The 13,500-nt window shown below is 43.5% G+C and overlaps 1 protein-coding gene across 9 annotated transcripts in view, besides 1 other annotated feature; it reads left to right on the forward strand.

Annotated features, from left to right (window-relative positions):
* Positions 1–13,500, forward strand: part of E2F3 (E2F transcription factor 3) — a 91,836-nt gene that overhangs the window by 62,831 nt on the left and 15,505 nt on the right. The window lies entirely within an intron of this gene.
* Positions 2,213–2,854: an enhancer, noted in NCBI's record as "OCT4-NANOG-H3K27ac-H3K4me1 hESC enhancer chr6:20467153-20467794 (GRCh37/hg19 assembly coordinates)". NCBI's record gives its function as "activates a minimal SCP1, AML or CMV promoter by ChIP-STARR-seq in primed H9 embryonic stem cells {active_cell/tissue: H9 hESC(primed)}" and the evidence as "EXISTENCE:reporter gene assay evidence [ECO:0000049][PMID:30033119]".

Genomic DNA, 13,500 nt, shown 5'->3' on the forward strand with positions numbered 1-13,500 from the left:
GCATTTCCCACTCAGATGTAATGTCCATTGCATGATAAAGAGACACAGCTATTTCTTATGAAGTGTGTTCAAATATACCACCTCTCTCTAAACTTTTACCTTAGTTCCATCAACCCTTACTTTCCTAACTGTAGCCTTCATTAGGCCTTTACCAACAGGTTTCGGTCGTACAATTCAGTACTAGCTAGGGGAAGTGTTCCCTGGACAGACATAATATCCATTCCTATAAATCATTTAGGTAAAGAGGCACAACTTCCTTATATAAAGCCTACTTAAACATCCCAGCTTTGATCATCCTAGCAATCCTTACATTTTTATGTTCTCACAATCTTAACTGTAGCCCAAGTCAGGGCTTGCCCAGTGGGTTTTGATAGCACAGTGCTTAAGGCTCCCATATCGAGGAGTCCCAGGAATTATTCTTCACCTCCCAGACGATTTTCCCACTTGTGTCCATAAGGCTGTGGGTACCCAGCAGGGGACTGGGCCAAGACACCTTTGCTGTCTGTCAGTCTTTTTCTTGATTAATCTGCCTGACTATTGCCCCAGGCAATTTCAGATCAGATCCTTCATTGTAATCTCTGCCTCTGACTTTTTAAATTTCTCCAAACTAGGGTAAATGTAGCAAACATTTTTCAAACCCCTTTATGTCGAGAGACCAGCAGGACTTCCCTTTGATCTATCCAGCCTTCCACAGTGTTGCATTAAAACATTTGTTTTAACCTCATTTTATTTCAGTTTCCATTTTATTCATCCCAATTTTTTTTATTTTCCATAGGTTATTGGGGAACAGGTGGTATTTGGTTACATGAGTAAGTTCTTTAGTGGTGATTTGTGAGATTTTGGTGCACTCATCACTCGAGCAGTGTACACTGCACCCAATTTGTAGTCTTTTATCCCTCACTCCCCTGCGTCCCCAAAGTCCATTGTGTCATTCTTATGCCTTTGCATCCTCATAGCTTAGCTCCCACCTATGAGTGAGAACATACGATGTTTGGTTTTCCATTCCTGAGTTACTTCACTTAGAATAATGGTCTCCAATCTCATCCAGGTAGCTGCAAATGCCATTAATTCATTTTTTATGGCTGAGTAGTATTCCATCATATATATATATACCACAGTTTCTTTATCCACTTGTTGATTGATGGGCATTTGGGTTGGTTCCAATTTTTGCAATTGTGAATCGTGCTGCTATAAACATGCGTGTGCAAATATTTTTTTTGAATAATGACTTCTTTTCCTCTGGGTAGGTACCCAGTAGTGGGATTGCTGGATCAAGTGGTAATTTCTACTTTTAGTTCTTTAAGGAATCCCCACACTGTTTTCCATAGGGGTTGTGCTAGTTTACATTCCCACCAGCAGTGTAGAAGTGCTCCCTGTTCACATCCACGCCAACATGTTTTTGGGGTGCGGGGCGGGGGGTGTGGGCAGAGTCTCGCTCTGTCACCCAGGCTGGAGTGCAGTGTCGTGATGTCAGCTCACTGCAATCTCCACCTCCTAGGTTCAAGCGATTCTCCTACCTCAGCCTCCTGAGTAGCTGGGACTACTCATGCACACCACCACGCCCGGCTACTTTTTGTATTTTTGGTAGAGATGGGGTTTCACCATGTTGGCCAGGCTGATCTTGAACTCTTGACCTCCAGTGATCTGCCTACCTCAGCCTCCCAAAATGCTGGCATTACAGGTGTGAGCCACCATGGCCAGCAATTATTTTTTGATGTTTTGATTATGGCCATTCTTGCAGAAGTAAGGTAGTATTGCATGGTGGTTTTGATTTGCATTTCCCTGATCATTAGTGATGCTGAGCACTTTTTCATGTTCTTAGCTGACTTTTTGGTGGGATTTTTTGGGTTTTTTCTTGCTAATTTGTTTTATTCATCCCATTTCTTAATAGCCATCTAAAGATTTCCACCATACTGGGAAAAGTCCCATGACTCTTCTCTTTGTTTTTCCTCTGTTTCATCCCTATCGGTGTGTTCTTTTTTTTTTTTTTTGAGACGGAGTCTGGCTCTGTCGCCCAGGCTCGAGTGCAGTGGCGCAATCTCTGCTCACTGCAATCTCCGCCTGCCGGGTTCAAGCAGTTCTCTGCCTCAGCCTCCCAAGTAGCTGGGATTTCAGCTGCCTGCCACCACGCCCAGCCAATTTTTGTATTTTTGGTAGAGATGGGGTTTCACCGTCTTGGCCAGGCTGGTCTTGAGCTCCTGACCTCGTGACCCACCTGCCTTGGCCTCCCAAAGTGCTGGGATTACAGGTGTGAACAACCGCGCCCGGCCCAGTGTGTTCTTATTCACCTTATTTCTTAACAACCATAAAAAATTTCCACCTTCCTGTGAGGAGTCCTGTGACTCTTCCCCCCTACCCTTCATCATTCTCTTGTTAATTAACCTAATGTTTGTATTAGCATCTGTAAGACTCATGAGGGGAAACTGAGCAAGTACATCTCATAAGGCTTCTTGAACTATCTCTCGATTTTGTGGCAACAAGGTTAAATGGGGCATCCACATTAAAGGGGCGCCCCTAATCGCATCATTTACCATGACTTGGGTAGCAAGGCATATTCAGTGCTTGAATAATCTGGTGGTCATAAACCCAGGCCCCACATGGCATGAATACAAAGTGTATCAGCTGTTTCAGCTTGACGTTTATAGGTGGAGTCAGGCAGTCCCCCTTCTTCCAACATTCAAAACCAAAGACACTGCTCCTAAATTACTCTCACAGTGCATTTTAGTAAAGCCTCCTCAGGAAGCTGATGATACCAATCTAAAAAATGAAACAATTCCTTCACACTATACCCTCTGCTTTCAATGGCTTCTTGATTTTGCCCTTTCCTGACACTGCCTTCTTGGTGCCCAAAGTCCTTAGGGGTGCTTTCTGATGTCGCTGCATAATTTTTCCCTTGTGGGAGCGAGGTTCTGTGAGTCTACTGGCTGAAGCATAGATTGACTGAAATCTGAACTTGGTCTGGCATCGAGGTTTGGCCCAGCACTTTCTTTTTACTTTCATTCTAGCTATTACAGATAACAATAACCAAAGGGTTGCATATTTTGTTTTTTTCTTATTAGTTCGCATTTCTTCATGCATTCAGCAAACCACCTTCCAGGGAGTTAGATTGATCCACCTCTAAATTCCATTGGTAACTTTTACCTTTAGTGACTGATGCCACTCCATACCATGGGTATGGAGCTGCCACTCCATACCATGGGTGACCACATGGGCACCCAGGAATCAAAGGTTTCTCACCCCCCAACCCCTTTATCTGTTTTCTTCCCAAACATGAGCTAGGGATGTTCTAGCAGTCCCGATTCTGACACCAATTCTGAAAATGCTGAGGAATGAACAAACTCGGTTTCTCCCACTATTTTCGCATATTACAGTTGTGACACCAGATGTGTGGGGGGTTTCCCCAGGCATCAAGCAAGCAATTCATTCTGCAGCGGACACTAGCTGGGCGTCCTCCAATTCAATTCTGACACCATCTACCCAGAGAAGTGTCACATCACACAGATTGAGGGTTCAGTCTCACAAGACCACCCCCAACTTCTGATGCCAGTTGCAAGCCCCAGGTTGTTTTACCTGTGCCTCTGGCCAACCTGCTGTAAATCGGGGTTCCCGCGGCCCATTCCTCAGATTCAGTTAATTTGCTAGAGCAGCTCACAGAACTCAGGAAACATTGAGGTTTACTGGTTTATTATAAACGATATCACAGAGGATGCAGATGAAGAGGTGCATAGGGCAAGGCATGTGAGAAGGAGCACGCAGCTTCCATGACCTCCTTGCATGCGTCACCCTCCAGGAACCTCCTTGTGTTCAGCTACCTGGAAGCTCTCCGTACCCTGTCCTCTTGGGTTTTTTGGGAAGCTTCATTATGTTGGCATGATTGATTAAATCACTGGCCATTGGGGATCAACTTAACCTTCAGCCCCTCTCCTCTCCTTGGAGGTTTAGAGATGGGTCTGAAAGTTCTGACCCTCTGATCCTGCCTTGGTTTTTCCAGTGACCATTGTCCATCCTGAAGCCACCTAAGGGCAGCCGGCCTTCATTCAAATCATCAGCACACAAAAAGATACTTCATCTTCTATAGTAAGTGGGCCTACCTTACACCAAGACTGATAAAGTGAGGGGTTTTCTAAACATAGGAGAGAAAGTTCAGGTGCTGGGCACTCAAATCAAGTGACAGATGTTCACCTCGGGCATCAGCACAGTGTATGCAGTGAAGGAAAACTGCAGAATGACAGCCATGCAGCAGACCTGGAGAACCCCTAGCTAGTCTCAGGTCTGGATATCAGGAGGCCAGAGAGCTTCAGGCAGGAGGAAAAGTGGAGATTTGGTAGAATATCTGATATGATGGAGAGTTGGAAAAAATTTGAGGATTTGGTGAGGGCAAATGGTGCCAACGAGCTAGAAAGACAATTGGAAACTCCAAAGAAAACAAACAAGCTTTACAAGAAAGGATATATAGTCTCAGTATATTATTTGATACTGCAGTGAATACTGTTTATACAGTCATGATGTATAGCACTGGTTTTTTATTTAACCAAAACTAATTATGTAACTATTGGGGGGAAATGGAAGAAGTGAGATGGGTATCGTATCATTGAAGGATGTCAGTACATTAGAACTAAAATGGCTAAACCAGAAATAGCTGTGTGAGCATATCACTTAGAGATACAGAGGTGACCACCAGGAGAAATAGTAAAGGTGGTTCCCCCAGCAAGGTAGCCATTATAGGCTCTCTGAGCTAGTGGGTTTTGAAAAACCATGTGCATCTATTTGTTTTTTAATTGTCTTAAATTATTCTTAAAAACAAAATAAGTTTCTATAGGAGGGACCGCAGTCACCAGTTCATAGGTTAAATGGCTTTTATTCCAAAAGTTCTAAGTCAGTGAGATTGCTTTTCCTTTAGAAACATTCATATATATGTGGTTAGATCCCCAAACTAGTCCACAAATACAGGTTATAGTGAAATTAAAATATCCTAGTTTAGAAATCAAAAGAAGAAAAATGACCAACTTTGGAGTCCATTCTAGTAATCCAAGTGAGAAAGGATGGGGATACGGTTGGAGTTTTCTGCACACCTGTTCAGTTCACCAGTTATTCTTCTCTGAGATAGTCTGGTTTGTGATTAGGCTTCTCACCCAGCGGCTCACAGAGGATGCTACTCTCATTAGATTCTGCACTTACCTCTCACTGTAAAAAGCTGGAGAAGACTTTGGAGCCCTTCATCTTAGGTAACCTCGTCAATGACAGGTTGACACTAGGAGTGCATTTAGCTTGGCATGAAAGGGACCATAAGCTGTCCCCCTTCCTCATCATTCTGTACTCAAAGCCCCTCACTACTCACAAGCACCTCCGAACCAGGACTTTTCAAAATCTCTGCTTCTGTTCTTATTTGGACAGCCCATTCAACTCCTCTGACTTCACTCCCTTATCTGCATAACACAGCTCAAGAGCTGTCACCTCTTAACAATCTCTCCAGACCTCTACCCACTTCTCCATGCACCCCTCTTCATGCCCTCCTGGACCCACCCTGGGCTCACTGCAGTATTCATTCATAATAAATTTCCCATTGTTTCCCATTGTTTGCTTGCCTGTATACTTGTTGATAGCAGGGACCACCATGTTGCCTTTATAATCATATGCCCATGCAGGGCTTGGTACATAGCAGGCACTCAATAAATATTTGAATGGATTCAAAAATGATGAGCCAGATTGAGTTAATACATAGTTACAGCTGAAAACTAACTTTTCTTAAAATCCTCATGCCCTGACCCACTAACCTAATGGCCAGAGTCCAAGTGAGGTTCAGCTGTGGTCTGCTATGAAGCTGGAAATTCCCTCCTTTGGGTTATTTCACTGATGTACTTAACTTGGTCTTCATTCTTTTTATTTCTATTTTATTTCATTTTCCTTCTTCCTTTGTTCAAAATACCTGTCTCGTCTTTGGTTTTGAGACAAAAGGTATCATCTATCAAGTTCTATCCCTTTCCTGATCTCCTATTAACTAGGGAGAAGGGAGTTTATTTTAGCATTCACAGTTTGTTAACATACAGCAGGCCATGCCTTGTGCTTGATTTAATTTTTCCTGTGGCTCAGTGGCATGGTGGATAAGAACATCCCTTCCCTCCCCACCACGAAGCTGGATGCCCTTTCTGGTGGCATATCCCATTTCTGTTTTGAACCCGTACATATTGAATGGTACATAAGACATTCAACAGTCTAGAAAATAAGCCACCAGATTTCTGTTTAACCCCAAATGGAAATGATATTGCTTTTCTTGTTATGCAAGTAACCCACGCTCACTTTAAAATGATTTTCAAATATAAAAAAGCTAAAAAGAAGAAAGTAAAATCACCATAAGCCTACTATCCAAAGATTAATGCTTTTCAACTATTTGGTGTGTGGTATGTATCCTTAGATACTTGCTTTCTATGCATATAATTTTCTTACAAAAATAGTTTTACTATTCACACCTGCTTTTTTTAAGTTACATATGTCGCTGTACATCATTATTAATTACATAACATTTCAAGATATAAATGTATAATAACTTACTGAATTTTTCTTCTGAGGTTGGGCATTTATGTTGCACATATAGGCCGGGCACGGTGGCTCACACCTGTAATGCCAGCACTTTGGGAGGCCGAAGCGGGTGCATCACCTGAGGTCAGGAGTTCGAGACTAGCCTGGCCAACATGGTGAAACCTTGTGTCTATTAAAAATACAAAATTAGCCGGGTGTGGTGGTGCACGCCTGTAATCCCAGCTACTTGGGAGCTGAGGCAGGAGAATCACTTGAACCCAGGAGGCAGAGGTTGCAGTGAGTGGAGACTGCACCATTGCACTCTAGCCTGGGCAAAAAGAGCGAAACTCCACTCAAAAAAATAAAATAAAAATATGTTGGACATATGTGGAAAAATCAAATATTCAAGAAACAGGCTGTGCTGTTTTTAATAGACAAACCCTAGAAACAACCTAAATGTTGAGGATGTACTCCAAGAAGTAGAAGTGCCAGTTAGTATGGTAATAATGTATATGTAGACACATTGCTTTTTCAAATAAGATTAAAAATTGCAGAAATGTAAACATGAAGTCATTACTCATTTAATTTGACTTCCCAGAGATAACCACCATTAACATTTGGTGTGGATCTATTTTCAGGCCTTTTTCTCTATGGATTTAGGAAAAATTTTAGTGAAGTCTGTGGTTTCATATTTTTTTATATTACACATATCTCTGCAACTTTAATTTTTCTCCTTTATATTTCTTGAAAGTCTTTTGAAGTCATCTATAGAGATTAAACTCCAGCCTGCCCCCCCTCCAACACACACACACACACACACACACACACACACACACACACACACTCACATCTATCCCTTCTGCAGGTTGGTAACATTGGAGCTTTGTAATTTACCTGCCAAGGGACTTTGGGAATTTATTCCTTGGTTCATTCAAAATAAATAAGTCAATTTGACTGAGTGCATGCCATATGCAAGGCTCTGGGGAAACTAAGCTGCTTATGACCTGAGCTTAGAGTCCAGTGAGGAAGCCTGGAGTATGCATTTGTCATGGTGGTAAAATCGTGCAGTGGCAGCATGGATGTTGCTATGGAAGCAGAGGAAGGAATCTCAATAAGGCCAAGGGTGTCATGGTCACTGACAAATTATTGCATAGACTGAGGTTCAAATCCTGGTATCTGTGCTGAACGTGGAGGCTCACATCTGTAATCTCAACACTTTGGGAGGCTGAGGTAGGAGGGTCATTTGAGCATAGGAGTTCAAGATTGGCTTGGACAAAATAGCAAGACCTCATCTCTACCAAAAAAAAAATTAGCCACTCATGGTAGTGCTACTCAGGAGGCTGAGGTGGGAGGCTTGCTTGAGCCAGGAGTTTGAGGCTTCAGTGAACCATGATCACACCACCGCCCTCCAGCTTGGGTAACAAAGCTAGACCCTGTCTCTAAAAAAATAAAAAATAAGAATTCTAGTATCTGTCCCTTGTTAACTGAGACCTCGGGTAAATCCTTAACTTCTGTCTCAGTGCAAGCTGGGTGTAATAATACCTACCCCACAATGCCAGCATGATTATTCATTGGAAAAATGATTATAGGAGAGGAGTATTGAATGTCCATTAGTATATGTCTGCTTAAGTAAATAAATCGTGGCATATTAATTAATACAATATTATGCAGCTATGAGAAATGAGATCATTCCATGTGTTCTGATAAGGTCTAACTCGGACATATGTTATTAATAGAAAAGTGTGTGTTTTGCTACGATTTATGGGAAAAACTTTTTAAAGATGGGATGGTAGATAGTCTAGGTAAATACAAGTATGTATATAGCTATCTGAAAGGATATCCAAGTAACTTCATAGTGCTTGCCTTTGAGGAAGGGAACTGGGATCAGGAGTAGGGAGAAAGTTTGCTTTCCATTTATACTCATTTATGCTGCTTAAATTACCATATACATTTATTATATGTAAAGAAGAGTTTTTAAATCAGGAATAAAATAAAGTGTGTCATTAAGGCAATATCAACTTAATCTAGCTATTCAAATATTTTTACATGGGACTTTTCACAATCTTTTCATGAAGTAGTTATAAGCATGGACTTGTAGGTGTGCTTACTGGCTATAGAATCTTGGAAAAGTCAGTTAATCACACTAGACCTCCCTTTTCTTCTATAAAATAAGAATTAATAATAGCCACCTTATTAAGGGTGTTGTGAAAATAAGATAACAAAATTGAGTGGAAAACAGTTAACATGGTGCGTAGCATATTATAAGCACTCAAATATTTGTTGTGTAATAATTAATACTAAAGGTCTGTATCTATCAGTGGTATTAATAATAATCTAATTCAGCTGCCTTATACCAAAAAGGGATATTTGTGGGCTCACACAAATGAAAGTCTGTGGCATGTGTGCCTTTGGGTATGGCTGTATCTAGCACCTCCCTTGAAGGGATTGGGACTCAGCCTTTCCCCAGCTCTTCTGTGTTGGCTCACTTCCCAAGTAGCTCCAGGCTCGCACCCTACTGGCCTAATAATGCCCAGTGAAAAGAACCCAGTACTTTCCCAGTGGTTCCCAAGAAAAATCCCAGGATTGACTGACCCTTCCTGCATTGGTCATGGTCTCATCTTTACCCCAGACACTTGAGCCTTGGGATTGAGGCCAGGATTCAGTACTCACCTCTGCAACTTTGATGGGAAGAGTCGTCCTAATGTTGATCAGTCTCAAGTCTTGTCTTTTCATGCTTGGAGACTAATAGAAACTAAGAACATCAGTAGAGCTCCTTCCCCAGTGGAAAAAAAATAGGGGCAACAAATATCAGGCAGGCAGACTATAGATGTTCCCCACTGGCTCCAGTGGTAATTCTTTTGGGGTTTTGTGGTTTTTTTTCGTTTTGAGAGAGAGAGATGGGAGACTTGCTGTGCTGCCCAGGTTGGTCTCAAACTCCTGGGCCCAAGTGATCCTCTTGCCTCAGTCTCCCAAGTACCTGGGACTACAGGCGCATTACCATTGCACCCAGCTCTAACTACATACATTTTCCTACATAGATTTTCAGAACTGCTTACCAGTACAACTGTTTCTTTGCAGAGGCATGTTAACGTCCATGGGGCTGAGGTTTTAACGTTAGCACATACCTTGTTTATAGTACAAGTTACCCTTGAAAGTACTGCCGGAAGGTGCCACATGGAGTTCCACACAGAATCTCACAGAGCCAGGCTTTACCACTGCTTGGAACCAAATGGCCCATCCTTCTGTTGATTACTGGATAAGTTGGCTGTTTTACTGGTAGGGGCCATGTAATGTAAAGATCTGTGCATAAACAATGAATACCTCTCCAATCAGTACGATGCTCACGCTGTGAACTAACAAAAATTGAGATGACCAAGAGAAGAGATTTCCATCTACCCTGGTGCTCAGCCCAGGGCAGGGTGGTGTAGACAGAGCTCACCCGCACTATTTAAATCCTGTCATATAGTTTTTTGTTTTACCAGGCATGTGTGCTTGAATTTGCTAAGTTAAGCATTAAAATAATGCTGCTCCATCAAATATCAAAATTCTTAGCCCTTTTTCAAGAGATTCTAATTATTGCACCCATGTTCAGATCTGAGACCAAACAGGTAATATGTGGTCCCCACAAATCCAGTTCCGCCCTCCCTGTTCACTCAACAGGGGAGGAAAAATAACAGGATAACCCAACGGGAACCTCCCTTCTGAAAAGGGGAAATGACATAAAGTGCTCACCTCCTGCTTCTTGTCATGTCCTCCACAGGGACAGCAGTTTGTAGAGCCTATAAGTCCACCCCAAGTTCCACCTCCTGGGAGGAATTCTGGGGCTGCCCCTTCTTCACACCTCACTTATTTCTGGCGTGGCTTTTGGACCTAGTGATTGATTTCCTTAGAGGTTCAACATCATGGACCTTCACTTTCTAGACTTAGTGATTCTTTCGCAATAAAAGTGCCTTGCAATTTTAGTAGCTTGTCCATCTAGCATTCAAATTTGGTCAATTTATGGTTTGGTGCTTAGTAACGAGAGTTACACATGAAGACTAGTCCCGGTCTTTCGAAGTTAAGTCTCAGTCACTTAGCAGCAGACATGGAAATTTCCCTAACCTACAGTTTAATGGTTCCATAGGCCTTTGCCTCATGGCAGTCTGAAACAGCAGCCTGGGAGGGAGAGATAAAACTAGTATGCCCCCAGCCTGCTGACCAGTGGGTGGTTCTTTACTGCTGAGGCACGGCCCTAGGTCCCTAGGAGTTCTGGGTCCCAGACTCTTTTCCAAGTTTGCCTTCTTTCTGTTCACTTTATTTTCATTTTTTGAGACAAGAGTCTTTCTCTGTCATCCAGGCTGGATTGCGGAGGCACCAACCTCCACCTCCCAGGTTCAAGCAATTCTCATGCCCCAGCCTCCCAAGTAACTGGAACTACAGGTGCATGCTACCATGCTGGGCTACTTTTTGTATTTTTAGTAGAGTTAGGGTTTCACCAGGCTGGTCTCAAACTCCTGACCTCAGGTGATCTGCCTACCTCGGCCTCTCAAAGTGCTGGGATTACAGGCGTGAGCCATTGTGCCCAGCCCATTTGTTGACTTTAATTTGGGCAGAGAATACAGCTCTATGTCTCCTTAGATTGCTTTCTGTAGAGAAGGCCTCCATAGCAAAGCTGTTTTCTTTGAGGCGGGCCAGCCTCAGATGAAGTTTCTCTCTATCTGTAGTATCTTCCTGGCGGTCACAAGAAGTGACCAACACACTCTGCCACTCTCTAACAAGGCCTGCCAACTCCCTGTCACACCATAGCCATCTTGACTCAGCCAGTTCCATAAGCTGTCACTGGCAACAGCACAATTCTAGGTTCCCGACTCAAAACACTTGAAGCAGCTGGGCACGGTGGCTCACGCCTGTAATCCCAGCACTTGAGGAGGCCGAGGAAGGCGGATCACGAGGTCAGGAGATCAAGAAGATCCTGGCTAACATGGTGAAACCCCGTCTCTACTAAAACTACAAAAAATTAGCCGGGCGTGGTGGCGGACGCCTGTAGTCCCAGCTACTCGAGAGGCTGAGGCAGGAGAATGGCATGAACCCGGGAGGCGGAGCTTGCAATAAGTTGAAATTGCACCACTGCACTCCAGCCTGGGTGACAGAGCGAGACTCCGGGTCTCAAAAAAAAAAAATGCTTTAAGCAAAAAGGAGAGTTTATTGGCTAATGTAACTGGAAAGTCTGGGAAAGACCAACAGTTGCCCCCAGGGCATGACCAGAGCCAGAGTTTTGAGTGGTGGTCTCAGACCCCTCTCTCTCCTTCTCTCCACTCTGCTTTCCCCTGGGAAGGCCCCATTCTCAGGCAGCTTTAGGCTCCTCACTTACCAACCTTACTGGAAAGACATACCTGCTTCTTGCCAGATAGTTCCAGAAACATTCCTGGGGTTAGCCTTTGCTCCTCCAGCCTTGGTCATAAGCCATTCAACCTGTTCGCGGTGGGGGCGGGGAGGGCAGGATGGGCCACAATGATTAGCCAGGCCTGGATCACCTGTGTGCACAGATGCGCTTAGACCAGGAAAGGGATGGCTCCCCAAGGAACAAACAGGGAGCTTCTGCCTGATAAAGAGTGAATGTTTGCTGGACCAACCACAGCAGGCCCACACAAGGACTTGACAGAATGGCTGGGAGGGGAAGATGAAGTCCAGCAAGCAGATTGTCCTTCCGGAGCCATTAGAATGATGTTTAACTTAGCACTGCAGTAGAAAGATAAGGTGTGCCACTGAGGCAAGCCACATCGTAAAATATATATATAAAGAAACAGATGAAATAATTTTAATGCTACATCTGACCCATTAACAACATTGGGGTTAGAGGTGCCCTGACACAGTCAAAAATTTAGATAGATCTTTTGACTCCCCTAAACTTAACTAATAGCCTGTTGTTTGGGGTTTTCATTATTATTTTAGTGATGGGGGGTCTTGCTACGTTGATCAGGCTGGTCTTGAACTCTTGGCCTCAAGTCATCCTCCTGAGTAGCTGGGATTACAGGTGTGATCCATGCACCCAGCCCTAATAGCCTACTGTTGACTAGAAGCCTTACCAATAACATAAACAGTCATTAACACATTTCATATGGTATATGTATTATATACTGTATTCTTACAATGAAGTTAGAGAGGAAATGTTATCAATAAAAGAAAGTTTGGAATGAATGAAAGTGGAATCCACAGGATAGATTTCCCTCATCAGCCAAGCAGGACTAGAGGTGAGGGTGTGTGAAATAGGCCGTGCTGGGCAGAGCTGGGCTTTGCCTGAGTGTCTTACTCTTTTCCCTTATGATCTAAAGCCAGGTTTCTCCAACTTTAAGGTGTATCAGAATCACCTGGAAGGCCTGTTAGATTGCTCAGCCCCATTCCCAGAGTTTCTGATCCAATGCATCTTAGGTATGCTCTGGAATTTGCGTTTCCTAGCAGCTGAACTTGGTCCAGGGTTCAAAGTGTAGAAGGCATATGGGCATATAAAGCAGCTGGATGAAAAAAAAATCATAAGGAAGAGAAAATAGATTTACTATTCATTACTGGAAGTGGATCATCATAAAATTCATCCTCGTTATCTTCACATTGAGGAAGGTGTGGTGAAAGAAAAGAGGAGGGGTTGGTCTTACTGTCTCAGGGATGACAGAGGAAGAAGAAAACCCACATATAGGTGGACACACTCATGGCCGGGTGCAGTGGCTCACGGCTGTAATCCCAGCACTTTGGGAGGATGAGGCAGGAGGATCACTTGAGCCCAAGAGTTCAACACCAGCCTGGGCAACATACAGAGGCCCCATCTCTACCCAAAAAAAAAAAAATTTAAATTAGCCAGACATCATGGTGTGCACCTGTGGTCCCATCTACTCAGGAGGCTGAGATGGGAGGATTCCTTGAGCCTGGGAGGACAAGGTTGCAGTGAGCTGAGATCACACCACTGCACTCCAGCCTGGGCGGCAGAGCAAGACCCTGTCTCTAAAAAAATAA

The sequence above is a fragment of the Homo sapiens genome, chromosome 6 (assembly GCF_000001405.40).
Source record: "Homo sapiens chromosome 6, GRCh38.p14 Primary Assembly".
Taxonomy (NCBI): domain Eukaryota; kingdom Metazoa; phylum Chordata; class Mammalia; order Primates; family Hominidae; genus Homo; species Homo sapiens.